The following is a 19,702-nucleotide window of genomic DNA, read 5'->3' as shown; positions in this document are numbered from 1 at the left end:
GGCTCTCAGGCCACGTCGCCCCTTGTTCTCGGCCTGCAGAGGGAGGCTGGCGGGTGTGCGCTGAACTTTGGGCCCCGCGGGAGCAGCACGGTCACCATTCCACGGGAGCGGCTGGCGGCTGGCGTGGAGTACACCTTCAGCCTGACCGTGTGGAAGGCCGGCCGCAAGGAGGAGGCCACCAACCAGACGGTGGGTGCCGCCCGCCCCTCGGCCACTTGCCTTGGACAGCCCAGCCTCCCTGGTCATCTACTGTTTTCCGTGTTTTAGTGCTGGTGGAGGCCGCACGCTCTCCCCTCTCTGTTTCTGATGCAAATTCTATGTAACACGACAGCCTGCTTCAGCTTTGCTTCCTTCCAAACCTGCCACAGTTCCACGTACAGTCTTCAAGCCACATATGCTCTAGTGGCAAAAGCTACACAGTCCCCTAGCAATACCAACAGTGAGGAAGAGCCCCTTCCCACCCCAGAGGTAGCCACTGTCCCCAGCCCATGTCCCTGTTGCTGGATGTGGTGGGCCGGTTCTCACCCTCACGCTCCCCTCTCTGGACCGGCCAGGAGGCTTGGTGACCCTGAGCCCGTGGTGGCTGCTCCTGCTGCTGTCAGGCGGGGCCTGCTGGTGCCCCAGAGTGGGCGTCTGTTCCCCAGTCCCTGCTTTCCTCAGCTGGCCTGATTGGGGGTCTTCCCAGAGGGGTCGTCTGAGGGGAGGGTGTGGGAGCAGGTTCCATCCCAGCTCAGCCTCCTGACCCAGGCCCTGGCTAAGGGCTGCAGGAGTCTGTGAGTCAGGCCTACGTGGCAGCTGCGGTCCTCACACCCACACATACGTCTCTTCTCACACGCATCCCCCCAGGGGCCCTCAGTGAGCATTGCCTGCCTCCTGCTAGGGTCCAGCTGGGTCCAGTACACCAGAACGCACACTCCAGTGTCCTCTGCCCTGTGTATGCCCTTCCGCCGTCCAAGTTGGAAGGTGGCAAACCGGATGAGTATCCTGGGAGGGAGTGAGCTCACCGGCAGTGGCCAGGCCCCTGGGAAACCTGGAGTTTGGGAGCAGCATCCTCCATGGGTCCCCCAGTCCTTCCAGCAGGCCAAATAGACCTGTGTTGGAGGTAACCCCACTCCCACGCCAGGTGCTGATCCGGAGTGGCCGGGTGCCCATTGTGTCCTTGGAGTGTGTGTCCTGCAAGGCACAGGCCGTGTACGAAGTGAGCCGCAGCTCCTACGTGTACTTGGAGGGCCGCTGCCTCAATTGCAGCAGCGGCTCCAAGCGAGGGGTGAGTGTTGAGCGGGGTGTGGGCGGGCTGGGGATGGGTCCCATGGCCGAGGGGACGGGGCCTGCAGGCAGAAGTGGGGCTGACAGGGCAGAGGGTTGCGCCCCCTCACCACCCCTTCTGCCTGCAGCGGTGGGCTGCACGTACGTTCAGCAACAAGACGCTGGTGCTGGATGAGACCACCACATCCACGGGCAGTGCAGGCATGCGACTGGTGCTGCGGCGGGGCGTGCTGCGGGACGGCGAGGGATACACCTTCACGCTCACGGTGCTGGGCCGCTCTGGCGAGGAGGAGGGCTGCGCCTCCATCCGCCTGTCCCCCAACCGCCCGCCGCTGGGGGGCTCTTGCCGCCTCTTCCCACTGGGCGCTGTGCACGCCCTCACCACCAAGGTGCACTTCGAATGCACGGGTGAGTGCAGGCCTGCGTGGGGGGAGCAGCGGGATCCCCCGACTCTGTGACGTCACGGAGCCCTCCCGTGATGCCGTGGGGACCGTCCCTCAGGCTGGCATGACGCGGAGGATGCTGGCGCCCCGCTGGTGTACGCCCTGCTGCTGCGGCGCTGTCGCCAGGGCCACTGCGAGGAGTTCTGTGTCTACAAGGGCAGCCTCTCCAGCTACGGAGCCGTGCTGCCCCCGGGTTTCAGGCCACACTTCGAGGTGGGCCTGGCCGTGGTGGTGCAGGACCAGCTGGGAGCCGCTGTGGTCGCCCTCAACAGGTGAGCCAGGCCGTGGGAGGGCGCCCCCGAGACTGCCACCTGCTCACCACCCCCCTCTGCTCGTAGGTCTTTGGCCATCACCCTCCCAGAGCCCAACGGCAGCGCAACGGGGCTCACAGTCTGGCTGCACGGGCTCACCGCTAGTGTGCTCCCAGGGCTGCTGCGGCAGGCCGATCCCCAGCACGTCATCGAGTACTCGTTGGCCCTGGTCACCGTGCTGAACGAGGTGAGTGCAGCCTGGGAGGGGACGTCACATCTGCTGCATGCGTGCTTGGGACCAAGACCTGTACCCCTGCCTGGAGCTTTGCAGAGGGCTCATCCCGGGCCCCAGAGATAAATCCCAGTGACCCTGAAGCAGCACCCCGACCTTCCGCTCCCAGCAGCCACACCCACCGGGCCCTCTCCGGCGTCTGCTTTCCACAATGCAGCCCCCGCCCAGGAGGGCCCATGTGCTTACCCTGTTTTGCCCATGAAGAAACAGCTCAGTGTTGTGGGTCAGTGCCCGCATCACACAGCGTCTAGCACGTAACTGCACCCCGGGAGTCGTGGGCATCTGCTGGCCTCCTGCCGGCCTCCTGCGCTGCTGACAGCTTGCTGTGCCCCCTGCCTGCCCCAGTACGAGCGGGCCCTGGACGTGGCGGCAGAGCCCAAGCACGAGCGGCAGCACCGAGCCCAGATACGCAAGAACATCACGGAGACTCTGGTGTCCCTGAGGGTCCACACTGTGGATGACATCCAGCAGATCGCTGCTGCGCTGGCCCAGTGCATGGTAGGATGGCCCCACCTGCTCACCCTGCCCCGCATGCCTGCCAGGGCACTGGGTTCAGCCCCCCAGGGCAGACGGGCAGCTTGGCCGAGGAGCTGAGCCTCCAGCCTGGGCTCCTTCCTGCCATGGCGTTCCTCGGTCTCTGACCTGCTTCAGTAGCCTCAGCCGTTCTGTCCTGTGTGAACGCAGGGTGCCTCTCGGGGGACCCAGGGTGTAAAGAGGGGCCCAGATGTGGGGAGGGACTAAGAAGATGCTGCTCTGTGCCCTCCACTCTCCCCTCCCCTCCCCTCCCCCTTCCCTCCCCTAGCCCCTCCCCTCCTCCCCTCCCCTAGCCCTTCCCCTCCTCCCCTCCCCTAGCCCTTTCCCTTCTTCCCCCCCAGCCCTTCCCCTCCTCCCCTCCCCTTTTTCTCCACTCCCCTCTCCTCTCTCCCCTCCTCCTCCGCTCTCATGTGAAGAGGTGCCTTGTGTGGTCGGTGGGCTGCATCACGTGGTCCCCAGGTGGAGGCCCTGGGTCATGCAGAGCCACAGAAAATGCTTAGTGAGGAGGCTGTGGGGGTCCAGTCAAGTGGGCTCTCCAGCTGCAGGGCTGGGGGTGGGAGCCAGGTGAGGACCCGTGTAGAGAGGAGGGCGTGTGCAAGGAGTGGGGCCAGGAGCGGGGCTGGACACTGCTGGCTCCACACAGGGGCCCAGCAGGGAGCTCGTATGCCGCTCGTGCCTGAAGCAGACGCTGCACAAGCTGGAGGCCATGATGCTCATCCTGCAGGCAGAGACCACCGCGGGCACCGTGACGCCCACCGCCATCGGAGACAGCATCCTCAACATCACAGGTGCCGCGGCCCGTGCCCCATGCCACCCGCCCGCCCCGTGCGGCCCTTTCCTCTGCCTCCCTCCTCCCCCCAACCGCGTCGCCTTTGCCCCATCCCATCTTCGTCCCCCTCCCCTCCCCCCAATTCCCATCCTCATCCCCCTCCCCCAATTCCCATTCTCCTCCCCCTCCCCCTTCCCTATTACCATCCCTTTTCTCCATCTCTCTCCCCTTTTCTCCATTTCCCCCCCCGTCCTCCCCGTCCTTTTGTCCATTCCCCTCATCTTCCTCATCCCCCTCATCCCCCTTCCCCTCCCTTATCCCCCTTCCCCTCCCTTTCCCCCTGCTCCTCTTCTTCTCCCTTCTCTTTTCTCTACCCTTTTCCTTCCTTTTTCCTCCCTCTCCCCATCATCCCCCTCATCTTCGTCCTCATCCCCATCACCTTCCCCCTCCCCCCTCCACCACTCTCTCTCCAGCTTCCCCCTTCCTTCTGCCTGCACCTCGCTCTCTGCCCCCTCAGGTTCCCCCTTTCTCCCAGCCCCCACCCTCCGGCTCCCCCTTTTTGCCTGCCCCCACCCTCCCTCTACCTCCCTGTCTCTGCACTGACCTCACGCATGTCTGCAGGAGACCTCATCCACCTGGCCAGCTCGGACGTGCGGGCACCACAGCCCTCAGAGCTGGGAGCCGAGTCACCATCTCGGATGGTGGCGTCCCAGGCCTACAACCTGACCTCTGCCCTCATGCGCATCCTCATGCGCTCCCGCGTGCTCAACGAGGAGCCCCTGACGCTGGCGGGCGAGGAGATCGTGGCCCAGGGCAAGCGCTCGGACCCGCGGAGCCTGCTGTGCTATGGCGGCGCCCCAGGGCCTGGCTGCCACTTCTCCATCCCCGAGGCTTTCAGCGGGGCCCTGGCCAACCTCAGTGACGTGGTGCAGCTCATCTTTCTGGTGGACTCCAATCCCTTTCCCTTTGGCTATATCAGCAACTACACCGTCTCCACCAAGGTGGCCTCGATGGCATTCCAGACACAGGCCGGCGCCCAGATCCCCATCGAGCGGCTGGCCTCAGAGCGCGCCATCACCGTGAAGGTGCCCAACAACTCGGACTGGGCTGCCCGGGGCCACCGCAGCTCCGCCAACTCCGCCAACTCCGTTGTGGTCCAGCCCCAGGCCTCCGTCGGTGCTGTGGTCACCCTGGACAGCAGCAACCCTGCGGCCGGGCTGCATCTGCAGCTCAACTATACGCTGCTGGACGGTGCGTGCAGCGGGTGGGGCACACGCGGCCCCCTGGCCTTGTTCTTGGGGGGAAGGCGTTTCTCGTAGGGCTTCCATGGGTGTCTCTGGTGAAATTTGCTTTCTGTTTCATGGGCTGCTGGGGGCCTGGCCAGAGAGGAGCTGGGGGCCACGGAGAAGCAGGTGCCAGCTCTGGTGCAGAGGCTCCTATGGCCTTTCAGGCCCGTGGCAGAGGGTGGGCTCAGGAGGGCCATCGTGGGTGTCCCCCGGGTGGTTGAGCTTCCCGGCAGGCGTGTGACCTGCGCGTTCTGCCCCAGGCCACTACCTGTCTGAGGAACCTGAGCCCTACCTGGCAGTCTACCTACACTCGGAGCCCCGGCCCAATGAGCACAACTGCTCGGCTAGCAGGAGGATCCGCCCAGAGTCACTCCAGGGTGCTGACCACCGGCCCTACACCTTCTTCATTTCCCCGGGGTGAGCTCTGCGGGCCAGCCTGGCAGGGCAGGGCAGGGCATCATGGGTCAGCATTGCCTGGGTTACTGGCCCCATGGGGACGGCAGGCAGCGAGGGGACTGGACCGGGTATGGGCTCTGAGACTGCGACATCCAACCTGGCGGAGCCTGGGCTCACGTCCGCTACCCCTTCCCTGCCCAGGAGCAGAGACCCAGCGGGGAGTTACCATCTGAACCTCTCCAGCCACTTCCGCTGGTCGGCGCTGCAGGTGTCCGTGGGCCTGTACACGTCCCTGTGCCAGTACTTCAGCGAGGAGGACATGGTGTGGCGGACAGAGGGGCTGCTGCCCCTGGAGGAGACCTCGCCCCGCCAGGCCGTCTGCCTCACCCGCCACCTCACCGCCTTCGGCGCCAGCCTCTTCGTGCCCCCAAGCCATGTCCGCTTTGTGTTTCCTGTGAGTGACCCTGTGCTCCTGGGAGCCTCTGCAGAGTCGAGGAGGGCCTGGGTGGGCTCGGCTCTATCCTGAGAAGGCACAGCTTGCACGTGACCTCCTGGGCCCGGCGGCTGTGTCCTCACAGGAGCCGACAGCGGATGTAAACTACATCGTCATGCTGACATGTGCTGTGTGCCTGGTGACCTACATGGTCATGGCCGCCATCCTGCACAAGCTGGACCAGTTGGATGCCAGCCGGGGCCGCGCCATCCCTTTCTGTGGGCAGCGGGGCCGCTTCAAGTACGAGATCCTCGTCAAGACAGGCTGGGGCCGGGGCTCAGGTGAGGGGCGCAGCGGGGTGGCAGGGCCTCCCCTGCTCTCACTGGCTGTGCTGGTTGCACCCTCTGGGAGTGAGTCTCGTCGCAGGCGTCAGAACAAGGCAGTTTTTGCAGTGCTGTGTGAAGGGCTCGTGTGTTCATCCTGGGAATGACCTCGTGAGCACTCACTGTCCCTGAGGACTAGGACAGCTCCTAGCTGGAAGTAGGTGCCAGTCAGTCAGGGTGGGCAGCCCACGTTCTGCACAGTAGCGTGGCCCCACAAGTGACGTGAGCATCGCTACCACTGTGGGAGACTGTGCATCCACCCGCGATCCTGACTGCATAGCTCGTCTCTCAGACGGAGGCGCCAGCACCCTCCCCGTGGCTGTTTCTTCAGTACCTCCATTTTCCTTTCATTGGAATTGCCCTTCTGGCATTCCCTTTTTGTTTTCGTTTTTCTTTTTTTAGAGACGGAGTCTCACTCTGTTGCCCAGGCTGGAGTGCAATGGCATGATCTTGGCTCACAGCAACTTCCAGCTCCCGGGTTTAAGCCATTCCCCTTAAGCGATTCTCCTGAGTAGCTGGGAGTACAGGTGCACACCACCACACCCAGTTAATTTTTCACCATGTCAGCCAGGCGAACTCCTGACCTCAGGTGATCCGCCTGCCTCGGCCTGCCAGAGTGCTGGGATGACAGGTGTGAGCCACCACACCTGGCTGTGTTCCCATTTTTTATCTCTGTGCTGCTTTCCTCTTCATTGCCCAGTTCTTTCTTTTGATTACCTACTTTTAAAAACTGTCGGCCGGGCGCGGTGGCTCACACCTGTAATCCGAGCACTTTGGGAGGCCAGGCAGGCAAATCACGGGGTCAGGAGATCGAGACCATCCTGGCTAACGGTGAAACCCTGTCTCTAATAAAAAGTACAAAAAAATTAGCCCGGCGTAGTGGCAGGCGCCTGTAGTCCCAGCTCCTTGGGAGACTGAGGCAGGAGAATGGCGTGAACCCGGGAGGCGGAGCTTGCAGTGAGCTGAGATTGCGCCACTGCACTCCAGCCTGGGTGACACAGCAAGACTCCATCTCAAAAAAAAAAGAAAAAAAATACTGTCACCTGGGTCTGTCACTGGGAGAGGAGGTGACACAGCTTCACGCTTTGCAGTCTGTGCATGAACTGAGGGACGGGTGTGTGGTGCGGGTCACCGGTTGTGGCATGACTGAGGCGTGGACAGGTGTGCAGTGCGGGTCACTGGTTGTGGTGTGGACTGAGGCGTGTGCAGCCATGTTTGCATGTCACAAGTTACAGTTCTTTCCATGTAACTTAATCATGTCCTTGAGGTCCTGCTGTTAATTGGACAAATTGCAGTAACCGCAGCTCCTTGTGTATGGCAGAGCCGTGCAAAGCCGGGACTGCCTGTGTGGCTCCTTGAGTGCGCACAGGCCAAAGCTGAGATGACTTGCCTGGGATGCCACACGTGTTGGGCAGCAGACCGAGCCTCCCACCCCTCCCTCTTGCCTCCCAGGTACCACGGCCCACGTGGGCATCATGCTGTATGGGGTGGACAGCCGGAGCGGCCACCGGCACCTGGACGGCGACAGAGCCTTCCACCGCAACAGCCTGGACATCTTCCGGATCGCCACCCCGCACAGCCTGGGTAGCGTGTGGAAGATCCGAGTGTGGCACGACAACAAAGGTTTGTGCGGACCCTGCCAAGCTCTGCCCCTCTGCCCCCGCATTGGGGCGCCCTGCGAGCCTGACCTCCCTCCTGCGCCTCTGCAGGGCTCAGCCCTGCCTGGTTCCTGCAGCACGTCATCGTCAGGGACCTGCAGACGGCACGCAGCGCCTTCTTCCTGGTCAATGACTGGCTTTCGGTGGAGACGGAGGCCAACGGGGGCCTGGTGGAGAAGGAGGTGCTGGCCGCGAGTAAGGCCTCGTTCCATGTTCCCACTCCGTGGGAGGTTGGGCAGGGTGGTCCTGCCCCGTGGCCTCCTGCAGTGCGGCCCTCCCTGCCTTCTAGGCGACGCAGCCCTTTTGCGCTTCCGGCGCCTGCTGGTGGCTGAGCTGCAGCGTGGCTTCTTTGACAAGCACATCTGGCTCTCCATATGGGACCGGCCGCCTCGTAGCCGTTTCACTCGCATCCAGAGGGCCACCTGCTGCGTTCTCCTCATCTGCCTCTTCCTGGGCGCCAACGCCGTGTGGTACGGGGCTGTTGGCGACTCTGCCTACAGGTGGGTGCCGTAGGGGTCGGGGCAGCCTCTTCCTGCCCAGCCCTTCCTGCCCCTCAGCCTCACCTGTGTGGCCTCCTCTCCTCCACACAGCACGGGGCATGTGTCCAGGCTGAGCCCGCTGAGCGTCGACACAGTCGCTGTTGGCCTGGTGTCCAGCGTGGTTGTCTATCCCGTCTACCTGGCCATCCTTTTTCTCTTCCGGATGTCCCGGAGCAAGGTGGGCTGGGGCTGGGGACCCGGGAGTACTGGGAATGGAGCCTGGGCCTCGGCACCATGCCTAGGGCCGCCACTTTCCAGTGCTGCAGCCAGAGGGAAAGGCGTCCACCAAAGGCTGCTCGGGAAGGGTCAACACACTTGAGCAGCCTTAGCTAGACTGACCAGGGAGAAAGAGAGAAGACTCAGAAGCCAGAATGGTGAAAGAACGAGGGCACTTTGCTAAGCAGACGCCACGGACGACTGCACAGCAGCACGCCAGATAACTCAGAAGAAGCAAGCACGCGGCTGTGCACGCTTCCGAAATGCACTCCAGAAGAAAATCTCAGTACATCTATAGGAAGTGAAGAGGCTGAGTTAGTCCCTTAGAAACGTCCCAGTGGCCGGGCCGGGTGTGGTGGCTCACGCCTGTAATCCCAACACTTCAGGTGGCCGAGGTGGGCGGATCTGAGTCCAGGAGTTTGAGACCAGCCTGGGCAACATAGCAAGACCCCATCTATATAAAACATTAAAAAGGGCCAGGCGCGGTGGCTCACGCCTGTAATCCCAGCACTTTGGGAGGCCGAGGCGGGCAGATCACTTGAGGTCAGGAGTTCGAGACCAGCCTGGCCAACACAATGAAACCCCGACTCTACTACAAATACAAAAACTTAGCTGGGCATGGTGGCGGGCGCCTGTAGTCCCAGCTACTCGAGAGGCTGAGGCAGGAGAATGGCATGAACCCAGGAGGCGGAGCTTGCAGTGAGCCGAGATTGCGCCACTGCACTCCATCCTGGGCAACGGAGCAAGACTCCATCTCCAAAAAAAAAAAAAAAAAATCCCACAAAGAAAAGCTCAGGCTCAGAGCCTTCACGATAGAATTTTTCTAAGCAGTTAAGGAAGAATTAACACCAATCCTTCACAGACTCTTTCCAAGAATACAGCAGGTGGGAACGCTTCCCATTCATACGGAAACGGGAGGCCGCACCCCTTAGGAATGCACACGTGGGGTCCTCAAGAGGTTACATGCAAACTAACCCCAGCAGCACACAGAGAAGGCGCATAAGCCGCGACCAGGAGGGGTTGCTCCCGAGTCCGTGGCAGGAACCAGAGGCCACATGTGGCTGCTCGTATTTAAGTTAATTAAAATGGAACGATGGCCGGGTGTGGTGGCTCACACCTGTAATCCCAGCACTTTGGGAGGCGGAGGCGGGCAGATCACTTGAGGTCAGGAGTTCCAAGACCAGCCTGGCCAACACAGTGAAACCCCGTCTCTACTAAAAATACAAAAAATTAGCTGGGCATGGTGGCAGGCACCTGTAATCCCAGCTACTCAGGAGGCTGAGCCAGGACAATCGCCTGAACGCGGGAGGTGGAGGTTGCAGTGAGCTGAGATTGCGCCATTGCACTCCAGCCTGGGTGACAGCGAGACTCCATCTAAAAAAGAAAATATGAAATTTAAAACTCTGTTCCTTAGCTGCACCAGTCTGCTGTCAAGTGTTCAGTGGCACACGTCGCGAGGGGCTGCCATCACGGACGGTGCAGATGTCCCATATATCCAGCATTCTAGGACATTCTGTCAGATGGCACCGGGCTCTGTCCTGTCTGCTGAGGAGGTGGCTTCTCATCCCTGTCCTGAGCAGGTCTGAGCTGCCGCCCGCTGACCACTGCCCTCGTCCTGCAGGTGGCTGGGAGCCCGAGCCCCACACCTGCCGGGCAGCAGGTGCTGGACATCGACAGCTGCCTGGACTCGTCCGTGCTGGACAGCTCCTTCCTCACGTTCTCAGGCCTCCACGCTGAGGTGAGGACTCTACTGGGGGTCCTGGGCTGGGCTGGGGGTCCTGCCGCCTTGGCGCAGCTTGGACTCAAGACACTGTGCACCTCTCAGCAGGCCTTTGTTGGACAGATGAAGAGTGACTTGTTTCTGGATGATTCTAAGAGGTGGGTTCCCTAGAGAAACCTCGAGCCCTGGTGCAGGTCACTGTGTCTGGGGTGCCGGGGGTGTGCGGGCTGCGTGTCCTTGCTGGGTGTCTGTGGCTCCATGTGGTCACACCACCCGGGAGCAGGTTTGCTCGGAAGCCCAGGGTGTCCGTGCGTGACTGGACGGGGGTGGGCTGTGTGTGTGACACATCCCCTGGTACCTTGCTGACCCGCGCCACCTGCAGTCTGGTGTGCTGGCCCTCCGGCGAGGGAACGCTCAGTTGGCCGGACCTGCTCAGTGACCCGTCCATTGTGGGTAGCAATCTGCGGCAGCTGGCACGGGGCCAGGCGGGCCATGGGCTGGGCCCAGAGGAGGACGGCTTCTCCCTGGCCAGCCCCTACTCGCCTGCCAAATCCTTCTCAGCATCAGGTGAGCTGGGGTGAGAGGAGGGGGCTCTGAAGCTCACCCTTGCAGCTGGGCCCACCCTATGCCTCCTGTACCTCTAGATGAAGACCTGATCCAGCAGGTCCTTGCCGAGGGGGTCAGCAGCCCAGCCCCTACCCAAGACACCCACATGGAAACGGACCTGCTCAGCAGCCTGTGAGTGTCCGGCTCTCGGGGGAGGGGGGATTGCCAGAGGAGGGGCCGGGACTCAGGCCAGGCAGCCGTGGTTCCCGCCTGGGGTAGGGTGGGGTGGGGTGCCAGGGCAGGGCTGTGGCTGCACCACTTCACTTCTCTGAACCTCTGTTGTCTGTGGAAAGAGCCTCATGGGATCCCCAGGGCCCCAGAACCTTCCCTCTAGGGAGGGAGCAGGCTCATGGGGCTTTGTAGGAGCAGAAAGGCTCCTGTGTGAGGCTGGCCGGGGCCACGTTTTTATCTTGGTCTCAGAGCAGTGAGAAATTATGGGCGGGTTTTTAAATACCCCATTTTTGGCCGGGCGCGGTGGCTCACACGTGTAATCCCAGCACTTTGGGAGGCCGAGGTGGGCAGATGACCTGAGGTCAGCAGTTCGAGACCAGCCTGGCCAACATGGCGAAACCCCGTCTCTACTAAAAATACAAAAAATTAGCCGGGCATGCTGGCAGGCGCCTGTAGTCCCAGTTACTCGGGAGACTGAGGTAGGAGAATCGATTGAACCTGGTAGGTGAAGGTTGTAGTGAGCCGAGATCGCGCCACTGCACTCCAGCCTGGGCAACAAGAGCGAAACTCCGTCTCAAAAACAAAAAAATTCCTCAATTTCTTGGTTGTTTTGTAACTTATCAACAAATGGTCATATAGAGGTTACCTTGTATGTAGTCACGCACATAGTCACGCACATGGCAGCCGGCGGCGGAGCGCACCCACGGCGTGTTCCCACGCGTGTGACCCCGGGCTCTGCCATGCCCTCCTATGCTCAGGTGTGCTGAGGTCCACACGGCCCTGCCGTTGCACTGCAGCTGCCTGCAGGATTCAGTGCAGTGGCATGCAGTGCAGGTGCGGTGCCCCGGAGCCACAGGCCACACCACAGGGCCTGCATGCACAGGGGCTGCGGTGTCTGGGTTTGGGTAACTACGCCCTGTGACATTTGCACAGCAACAGAATTACCTAATGACGCATTTCTCAGAACACATCCCTGGCACTAAGTGGTGCGTGACTGCTGCTTTTGCATCCACATCTAGTTTGATTTGTGTGTTATTCCTTTGAGTGCTTCTCATTGTTAAGCAACCAAGAACTAAAGAGGTATGAACTGCCCCTGGACTCAAACAAAAAGGAAAACTTCCTGATTTACAAAAGGCAGATAACCATCACATGAGGGCATCTTTATGAATAAATTGCTGGTTGGTTTTAAAAATACAGAGTATGGGGAAATCCAGGGGTAGTCACTACATGCTGACCAGCCCCAGGTATCTCCGGCCCAAAGCTCTGTGAAATCCAGATTCAGTGCTTCCGCGGGGATTTCTGACGGCAGCTCAGACTCCGCATCCACACAGAGCGCGTGGCCCTCACCCTCCCGGCTTCCTCAACCCTTGGCCGTCCCTTGCTCGGACAGTGCTTCGGGCTGACCAGGTCGGAGGCTTGGGTTTGTCCTGGACCCCTCTGCGTCCTTCCTCACTGCAGCCTCCAGCGCGTCCCGTGGCTCCTTTCCCAACGCAGAGCACGGCCTTCCCTGCGCCTGAGCCTGCACCCTCCGTCCTGGCGGCGCCTCTGCCCTGGCATTCCCTGCCACTCCATGCCTCCCTATTGGCCATTCTCCGTCTCTGCCAGCGAGAGCCTGCTCCCTGAGTCAGACCCTGAGTCATTTGTGTTGCTATAAAGGAATAGTTGAGGCTGGGTTATTTTTTATTTTTATTTATTTTTTTGAGATGGAGTCTCTGTTGCCCAGACTGGAGTGCAGTCGCATGATCTCGGCTCACTGCAAAGTCTGCCTCCCACGTTCAAGCAGTTATCTGCCTCAGCCTCCCAAGTAGCTAAGATTACAGGCGCCCGCCGCCACAGCCGGCTAATTTTTTGTGTGTGTGTTTTAGTAGAGAGGAGGTTTCACCATCTTAGCCAGGCTGGTCTTGAACTCCTGACCTCGTGATCCACCCATCTCAGCCTCCCAAAATGCTGAGATTACAGGCGTGAGCCACCACGCCTGACCAAGTTGAGGCTAGGTCATTTTTTAATTTTTTGTAAAGACAGGGTCTCACTGTCTCCAACTCCTGAGCTCAAGTGATCCTCCTGCCTCAGCCTCCTGAAGTGCTGGGATTACAGGCTTGAGACACTGCGCCCAGCCAAGAGTGTCTTTTATCCTCCGAGAGACAGCAAAACAGGAAGCATTCAGTGCAGTGTGACCCTGGGTCAGGCCGTTCTTTCGGTGATGGGCTGACGAGGGCGCAGGTACGGGAGAGCGTCCTGAGAGCCCGGGACTCGGCGTCTCGCAGTTGGTCTCGTCCTCCCCCTCAACGTGTCTTCGCTGCCTCTGTACCTCTTCTCTAGCAGCTCTGGGACCGGGCATATCAGCATGGTGGCCCGATGCAGTGGCACAGCCTCGGTGGTCACTGGCTCCTGGAGACACAAGCAGATCTCTGGCCTCAGGGAGCCCTACACACTGTTGGGATTTGAAAGGCATTCATATGTTTCCTTGTCCAGAAGTTAATTTTAGGCCATAAACCTGCATGGGACAGACACACTGGCGTCTCTAGATTGTAGAGATGCTTGTTGGATGGTTGAGACCCAATCATAGTTTGCAGGGTTGAAGGGGGGCTCATTGCACCCTGAGAGACTGTGCACTGCTGTAAGGGCAGCTGGTCAGGCTGTGGGCGATGGGTTTATCAGCAGCAAGCGGGCGGGAGAGGGACGCAGGCGGACGCCTGACTTCGGTGCCTGGAGTGGCTCTTGGTTCCCTGGCTCCCAGCACCACTCCCACTCTCGTTTGGGGTAGGGTCTTCCGGCTTTTTGTCGGGGGGACCCTGTGACCCAAGAGGCTCAAGAAACTGCCCGCCCAGGTTAACATGGGCTTGGCTGCAACTGCCTCCTGGAGGCCGGGATGAATTCACAGCCTACCATGTCCCTCAGGTCCAGCACTCCTGGGGAGAAGACAGAGACGCTGGCGCTGCAGAGGCTGGGGGAGCTGGGGCCACCCAGCCCAGGCCTGAACTGGGAACAGCCCCAGGCAGCGAGGCTGTCCAGGACAGGTGTGCTTGCGTAGCCCCGGGATGCCCCTAGCCCCTCCCTGTGAGCTGCCTCTCACAGGTCTGTCTCTGCTTCCCCAGGACTGGTGGAGGGTCTGCGGAAGCGCCTGCTGCCGGCCTGGTGTGCCTCCCTGGCCCACGGGCTCAGCCTGCTCCTGGTGGCTGTGGCTGTGGCTGTCTCAGGGTGGGTGGGTGCGAGCTTCCCCCCGGGCGTGAGTGTTGCGTGGCTCCTGTCCAGCAGCGCCAGCTTCCTGGCCTCATTCCTCGGCTGGGAGCCACTGAAGGTGAGGGGGCTGCCAGGGGTAGGCTACAGGCCTCCATCACGGGGGACCCCTCTGAAGCCACCCCCTCCCCAGGTCTTGCTGGAAGCCCTGTACTTCTCACTGGTGGCCAAGCGGCTGCACCCGGATGAAGATGACACCCTGGTAGAGAGCCCGGCTGTGACGCCTGTGAGCGCACGTGTGCCCCGCGTACGGCCACCCCACGGCTTTGCACTCTTCCTGGCCAAGGAAGAAGCCCGCAAGGTCAAGAGGCTACATGGCATGCTGCGGGTGAGCCTGGGTGCGGCCTGTGCCCCTGCCACCTCCGTCTCTTGTCTCCCACCTCCCACCCATGCACGCAGGACACTCCTGTCCCCCTTTCCTCACCTCAGAAGGCCCTTAGGGGTTCAATGCTCTGCAGCCTTTGCCCGGTCTCCCTCCTACCCCACGCCCCCCACTTGCTGCCCCAGTCCCTGCCAGGGCCCAGCTCCAATGCCCACTCCTGCCTGGCCCTGAAGGCCCCTAAGCACCACTGCAGTGGCCTGTGTGTCTGCCCCCAGGTGGGGTTCCGGGCAGGGTGTGTGCTGCCATTACCCTGGCCAGGTAGAGTCTTGGGGCGCCCCCTGCCAGCTCACCTTCCTGCAGCCACACCTGCCGCAGCCATGGCTCCAGCCGTTGCCAAAGCCCTGCTGTCACTGTGGGCTGGGGCCAGGCTGACCACAGGGCCCCCCCGTCCACCAGAGCCTCCTGGTGTACATGCTTTTTCTGCTGGTGACCCTGCTGGCCAGCTATGGGGATGCCTCATGCCATGGGCACGCCTACCGTCTGCAAAGCGCCATCAAGCAGGAGCTGCACAGCCGGGCCTTCCTGGCCATCACGCGGTACGGGCATCCGGTGCACTGGTCTGTCTTCTGGGCTTTAGTTTTGCCTTTAGTCCAGCCAGACCCTAGGGGACATGTGGACATGTGTAGATACCTTTGTGGCTGCTAGAACTGGAGGTAGGTGCTGCTGGCATCAGTAGGCAGAGGGGAGGGACACAGGTCCGTGTCTTGCAGTGCACAGGACGGGCCCATGACAGACAACTGTCTGCCCCAGAACATCCCCAGGATAAGGCTGAGAAGCCCAGGTCTAGCCGTGGCCAGCAGGGCAGTGGGAGCCATGTTCCCTGGGTCTCTGGTGGCCGCTCACTCGAGGCGGGCATGGGGCAGTAGGGGCTGGAGCGTGTGACTGATGCTGTGGCAGGTCTGAGGAGCTCTGGCCATGGATGGCCCACGTGCTGCTGCCCTACGTCCACGGGAACCAGTCCAGCCCAGAGCTGGGGCCCCCACGGCTGCGGCAGGTGCGGCTGCAGGAAGGTGAGCTGGCAGGGCGTGCCCCAAGACTTAAATCGTTCCTCTTGTTGAGAGAGCAGCCTTTAGCGGAGCTCTGGCATCAGCCCTGCTCCCTAGCTGTGTGACCTTTGCCCTCTTAACACCGCCGTTTCCTTCTCTGTATATGAGAGATGGTAACGTTGTCTAATTGATGGCTGCTGGGAGGGTTCCCTGGGGTGGCGCCGAACCAGAGCTCAGGCGAGCTGGCCAGCAGGAAACACTCCTGTTGGGTTTTGATGAGGCCCTGGCCCCGGCCTGGGGCTCTGTGTGTTTCAGCACTCTACCCAGACCCTCCCGGCCCCAGGGTCCACACGTGCTCGGCCGCAGGAGGCTTCAGCACCAGCGATTACGACGTTGGCTGGGAGAGTCCTCACAATGGCTCGGGGACGTGGGCCTATTCAGCGCCGGATCTGCTGGGGTGAGCAGAGCGAGGGCCCCGGGCGTCTACGCCAAGGACAAGGGAGTAGTTCTCCAGGAGTGCCGCGGCCTCCTGACCAGCCTGGCTCCGGGGTGCCGGAAGGGCTGGGGTGCGGCACCCACGCCACCCCTCTCCGGCAGGGCATGGTCCTGGGGCTCCTGTGCCGTGTATGACAGCGGGGGCTACGTGCAGGAGCTGGGCCTGAGCCTGGAGGAGAGCCGCGACCGGCTGCGCTTCCTGCAGCTGCACAACTGGCTGGACAACAGGTGGGAGCTCCCTCCCCTGCCCTCTCCGGGGTGGCCGCAGTCACCAGCCAGGAGCCCACCCTCACTCCTCCGGCCCCCGCTGGCCTAGGCGGCTTCCACAGCCCCTCAGCCACGCCTGCACTGCGCGGTCCCCGCAGCTCCCGCCCTGCCACCCGCTCCTACTGACCCGCACCCTCTGCGCAGGAGCCGCGCTGTGTTCCTGGAGCTCACGCGCTACAGCCCGGCCGTGGGGCTGCACGCCGCCGTCACGCTGCGCCTCGAGTTCCCGGCGGCCGGCCGCGCCCTGGCCGCCCTCAGCGTCCGCCCCTTTGCGCTGCGCCGCCTCAGCGCGGGCCTCTCGCTGCCTCTGCTCACCTCGGTACGCCCGTCCCCGGCCAGACCCCGCGCCTCCCACCGGCAGCGTCCCGCCCCCTCGCGGGGCCCCGCCCCGGCAGCGTCTCACCCCTCGCAGCGCCCCGCCCCCTCGCAGCGTCCCGCCCCCTCGCAGGGCCCCGCCCCGGCAGCGTCCCGCCCCCTCGTAGGGCCCCGCCCCGGCAGCGTCCCGCCCCCTCGCAGGGCCCCGCCCCGGCAGCGTCCCTCCCGCCCTCCTGACCGCGCCCCCCACAGGTGTGCCTGCTGCTGTTCGCCGTGCACTTCGCCGTGGCCGAGGCCCGTACTTGGCACAGGGAAGGGCGCTGGCGCGTGCTGCGGCTCGGAGCCTGGGCGCGGTGGCTGCTGGTGGCGCTGACGGCGGCCACGGCACTGGTACGCCTCGCCCAGCTGGGTGCCGCTGACCGCCAGTGGACCCGTTTCGTGCGCGGCCGCCCGCGCCGCTTCACTAGCTTCGACCAGGTGGCGCAGCTGAGCTCCGCAGCCCGTGGCCTGGCGGCCTCGCTGCTCTTCCTGCTTTTGGTCAAGGTGAGGGCTGGGCCGGTGGGCGCGGGGCTGGGCGCACACCCCAGGGCTGCAAGCAGACAGATTTCTCGTCCGCAGGCTGCCCAGCAGCTACGCTTCGTGCGCCAGTGGTCCGTCTTTGGCAAGACATTATGCCGAGCTCTGCCAGAGCTCCTGGGGGTCACCTTGGGCCTGGTGGTGCTCGGGGTAGCCTACGCCCAGCTGGCCATCCTGGTAGGTGACTGCGCGGCCGGGGAGGGCGTCTTAGCTCAGCTCAGCTCAGCTGTACGCCCTCACTGGTGTCGCCTTCCCCGCAGCTCGTGTCTTCCTGTGTGGACTCCCTCTGGAGCGTGGCCCAGGCCCTGTTGGTGCTGTGCCCTGGGACTGGGCTCTCTACCCTGTGTCCTGCCGAGTCCTGGCACCTGTCACCCCTGCTGTGTGTGGGGCTCTGGGCACTGCGGCTGTGGGGCGCCCTACGGCTGGGGGCTGTTATTCTCCGCTGGCGCTACCACGCCTTGCGTGGAGAGCTGTACCGGCCGGCCTGGGAGCCCCAGGACTACGAGATGGTGGAGTTGTTCCTGCGCAGGCTGCGCCTCTGGATGGGCCTCAGCAAGGTCAAGGAGGTGGGTACGGCCCAGTGGGGGGGAGAGGGACACGCCCTGGGCTCTGCCCAGGGTGCAGCCGGACTGACTGAGCCCCTGTGCCGCCCCCAGTTCCGCCACAAAGTCCGCTTTGAAGGGATGGAGCCGCTGCCCTCTCGCTCCTCCAGGGGCTCCAAGGTATCCCCGGATGTGCCCCCACCCAGCGCTGGCTCCGATGCCTCGCACCCCTCCACCTCCTCCAGCCAGCTGGATGGGCTGAGCGTGAGCCTGGGCCGGCTGGGGACAAGGTGTGAGCCTGAGCCCTCCCGCCTCCAAGCCGTGTTCGAGGCCCTGCTCACCCAGTTTGACCGACTCAACCAGGCCACAGAGGACGTCTACCAGCTGGAGCAGCAGCTGCACAGCCTGCAAGGCCGCAGGAGCAGCCGGGCGCCCGCCGGATCTTCCCGTGGCCCATCCCCGGGCCTGCGGCCAGCACTGCCCAGCCGCCTTGCCCGGGCCAGTCGGGGTGTGGACCTGGCCACTGGCCCCAGCAGGACACCCCTTCGGGCCAAGAACAAGGTCCACCCCAGCAGCACTTAGTCCTCCTTCCTGGCGGGGGTGGGCCGTGGAGTCGGAGTGGACACCGCTCAGTATTACTTTCTGCCGCTGTCAAGGCCGAGGGCCAGGCAGAATGGCTGCACGTAGGTTCCCCAGAGAGCAGGCAGGGGCATCTGTCTGTCTGTGGGCTTCAGCACTTTAAAGAGGCTGTGTGGCCAACCAGGACCCAGGGTCCCCTCCCCAGCTCCCTTGGGAAGGACACAGCAGTATTGGACGGTTTCTAGCCTCTGAGATGCTAATTTATTTCCCCGAGTCCTCAGGTACAGCGGGCTGTGCCCGGCCCCACCCCCTGGGCAGATGTCCCCCACTGCTAAGGCTGCTGGCTTCAGGGAGGGTTAGCCTGCACCGCCGCCACCCTGCCCCTAAGTTATTACCTCTCCAGTTCCTACCGTACTCCCTGCACCGTCTCACTGTGTGTCTCGTGTCAGTAATTTATATGGTGTTAAAATGTGTATATTTTTGTATGTCACTATTTTCACTAGGGCTGAGGGGCCTGCGCCCAGAGCTGGCCTCCCCCAACACCTGCTGCGCTTGGTAGGTGTGGTGGCGTTATGGCAGCCCGGCTGCTGCTTGGATGCGAGCTTGGCCTTGGGCCGGTGCTGGGGGCACAGCTGTCTGCCAGGCACTCTCATCACCCCAGAGGCCTTGTCATCCTCCCTTGCCCCAGGCCAGGTAGCAAGAGAGCAGCGCCCAGGCCTGCTGGCATCAGGTCTGGGCAAGTAGCAGGACTAGGCATGTCAGAGGACCCCAGGGTGGTTAGAGGAAAAGACTCCTCCTGGGGGCTGGCTCCCAGGGTGGAGGAAGGTGACTGTGTGTGTGTGTGTGTGCGCGCGCGCACGCGCGAGTGTGCTGTATGGCCCAGGCAGCCTCAAGGCCCTCGGAGCTGGCTGTGCCTGCTTCTGTGTACCACTTCTGTGGGCATGGCCGCTTCTAGAGCCTCGACACCCCCCCAACCCCCGCACCAAGCAGACAAAGTCAATAAAAGAGCTGTCTGACTGCAATCTGTGCCTCTATGTCTGTGCACTGGGGTCAGGACTTTATTTATTTCACTGACAGGCAATACCGTCCAAGGCCAGTGCAGGAGGGAGGGCCCCGGCCTCACACAAACTCGGTGAAGTCCTCCACCGAGGAGATGAGGCGCTTCCGCTGGCCCACCTCATAGCCAGGTGTGGGCTCGGCTGGAGTCTGTGCAGGGGCTTTGCTATGGGACGGAGGGTGCACCAGAGGTAGGCTGGGGTTGGAGTAGGCGGCTTCCTCGCAGATCTGAAGGCAGAGGCGGCTTGGGCAGTAAGTCTGGGAGGCGTGGCAACCGCTCTGCCCACACACCCGCCCCACAGCT

The 19,702-nt window shown here is 62.6% G+C and overlaps 2 protein-coding genes, 1 long non-coding RNA gene and 2 other non-coding genes across 67 annotated transcripts in view; 3 read left to right on the top strand and 2 right to left on the bottom strand.

The window, feature by feature from the left end:
* The window catches only part of PKD1 (polycystin 1, transient receptor potential channel interacting), a 47,191-nt gene extending 27,827 nt beyond the window's left edge, over nucleotides 1–19,364 (top strand). For 10 of the 12 annotated variants that reach the window (XM_047434209.1, NM_001009944.3, XM_047434208.1 and 7 more), the window contains 31 exons: nucleotides 40–189; nucleotides 1,124–1,267; nucleotides 1,395–1,674; nucleotides 1,768–1,981; nucleotides 2,048–2,207; nucleotides 2,598–2,750; nucleotides 3,430–3,574; nucleotides 4,177–4,806; nucleotides 5,102–5,258; nucleotides 5,439–5,691; nucleotides 5,816–6,011; nucleotides 7,506–7,676; nucleotides 7,763–7,906; nucleotides 8,001–8,211; nucleotides 8,302–8,428; nucleotides 10,088–10,204; nucleotides 10,292–10,344; nucleotides 10,569–10,753; nucleotides 10,831–10,924; nucleotides 13,862–13,980; nucleotides 14,059–14,261; nucleotides 14,334–14,528; nucleotides 14,979–15,118; nucleotides 15,480–15,592; nucleotides 15,884–16,025; nucleotides 16,166–16,291; nucleotides 16,475–16,649; nucleotides 16,898–17,188; nucleotides 17,264–17,398; nucleotides 17,482–17,787; nucleotides 17,878–19,364. In XM_047434209.1, the coding sequence (XP_047290165.1) occupies nucleotides 40–189; nucleotides 1,124–1,267; nucleotides 1,395–1,674; nucleotides 1,768–1,981; nucleotides 2,048–2,207; nucleotides 2,598–2,750; nucleotides 3,430–3,574; nucleotides 4,177–4,806; nucleotides 5,102–5,258; nucleotides 5,439–5,691; nucleotides 5,816–6,011; nucleotides 7,506–7,676; nucleotides 7,763–7,906; nucleotides 8,001–8,211; nucleotides 8,302–8,428; nucleotides 10,088–10,204; nucleotides 10,292–10,344; nucleotides 10,569–10,753; nucleotides 10,831–10,924; nucleotides 13,862–13,980; nucleotides 14,059–14,261; nucleotides 14,334–14,528; nucleotides 14,979–15,118; nucleotides 15,480–15,592; nucleotides 15,884–16,025; nucleotides 16,166–16,291; nucleotides 16,475–16,649; nucleotides 16,898–17,188; nucleotides 17,264–17,398; nucleotides 17,482–17,787; nucleotides 17,878–18,345 (5,997 nt within the window). In that variant the 3' untranslated portion in view covers nucleotides 18,346–19,364. The remainder of the gene's footprint in view (nucleotides 1–39; nucleotides 190–1,123; nucleotides 1,268–1,394; nucleotides 1,675–1,767; nucleotides 1,982–2,047; nucleotides 2,208–2,597; nucleotides 2,751–3,429; nucleotides 3,575–4,176; nucleotides 4,807–5,101; nucleotides 5,259–5,438; nucleotides 5,692–5,815; nucleotides 6,012–7,505; nucleotides 7,677–7,762; nucleotides 7,907–8,000; nucleotides 8,212–8,301; nucleotides 8,429–10,087; nucleotides 10,205–10,291; nucleotides 10,345–10,568; nucleotides 10,754–10,830; nucleotides 10,925–13,861; nucleotides 13,981–14,058; nucleotides 14,262–14,333; nucleotides 14,529–14,978; nucleotides 15,119–15,479; nucleotides 15,593–15,883; nucleotides 16,026–16,165; nucleotides 16,292–16,474; nucleotides 16,650–16,897; nucleotides 17,189–17,263; nucleotides 17,399–17,481; nucleotides 17,788–17,877) is intronic. The other 2 variants (NM_000296.4, XM_011522529.3) reach the window with 1 other exon arrangement.
* On the top strand, nucleotides 1,319–1,403 carry MIR6511B1 (microRNA 6511b-1). The gene has a single exon (NR_106775.1). It is a non-coding gene; the product is annotated as a microRNA 6511b-1 (primary transcript).
* PKD1-AS1 (PKD1 antisense RNA 1) lies at nucleotides 13,055–16,636 on the bottom strand. Its single transcript, NR_135175.1, has 3 exons — nucleotides 16,458–16,636; nucleotides 15,060–15,183; nucleotides 13,055–13,351 (listed from the first exon to the last, which is right to left on the bottom strand). It is a non-coding gene; the product is annotated as a PKD1 antisense RNA 1 (long non-coding RNA).
* MIR1225 (microRNA 1225) lies at nucleotides 17,788–17,877 on the top strand. The gene has a single exon (NR_030646.1). It is a non-coding gene; the product is annotated as a microRNA 1225 (primary transcript).
* TSC2 (TSC complex subunit 2) overlaps nucleotides 18,581–19,702 on the bottom strand; it is a 41,507-nt gene continuing 40,385 nt past the window's right edge. For all 52 annotated transcript variants that reach the window (NR_176226.1, NR_176227.1, NR_176225.1 and 49 more), the window contains one exon: nucleotides 18,581–19,626. Coding sequence is in view for 47 of the 52 variants with exons in the window: in NM_001406693.1 (NP_001393622.1) it covers nucleotides 19,462–19,626 (165 nt within the window). In the remaining 5 variants the exon portion in view is untranslated. The remainder of the gene's footprint in view (nucleotides 19,627–19,702) is intronic.

The sequence above is a fragment of the Homo sapiens genome, chromosome 16, assembly GCF_000001405.40.
Source record: "Homo sapiens chromosome 16, GRCh38.p14 Primary Assembly".
Taxonomy (NCBI): Eukaryota; Metazoa; Chordata; class Mammalia; order Primates; family Hominidae; genus Homo; species Homo sapiens.
The sequence above is the reverse complement of the archived record's forward strand: the minus strand, read 5'-3'. Positions and strand labels throughout refer to the sequence as shown.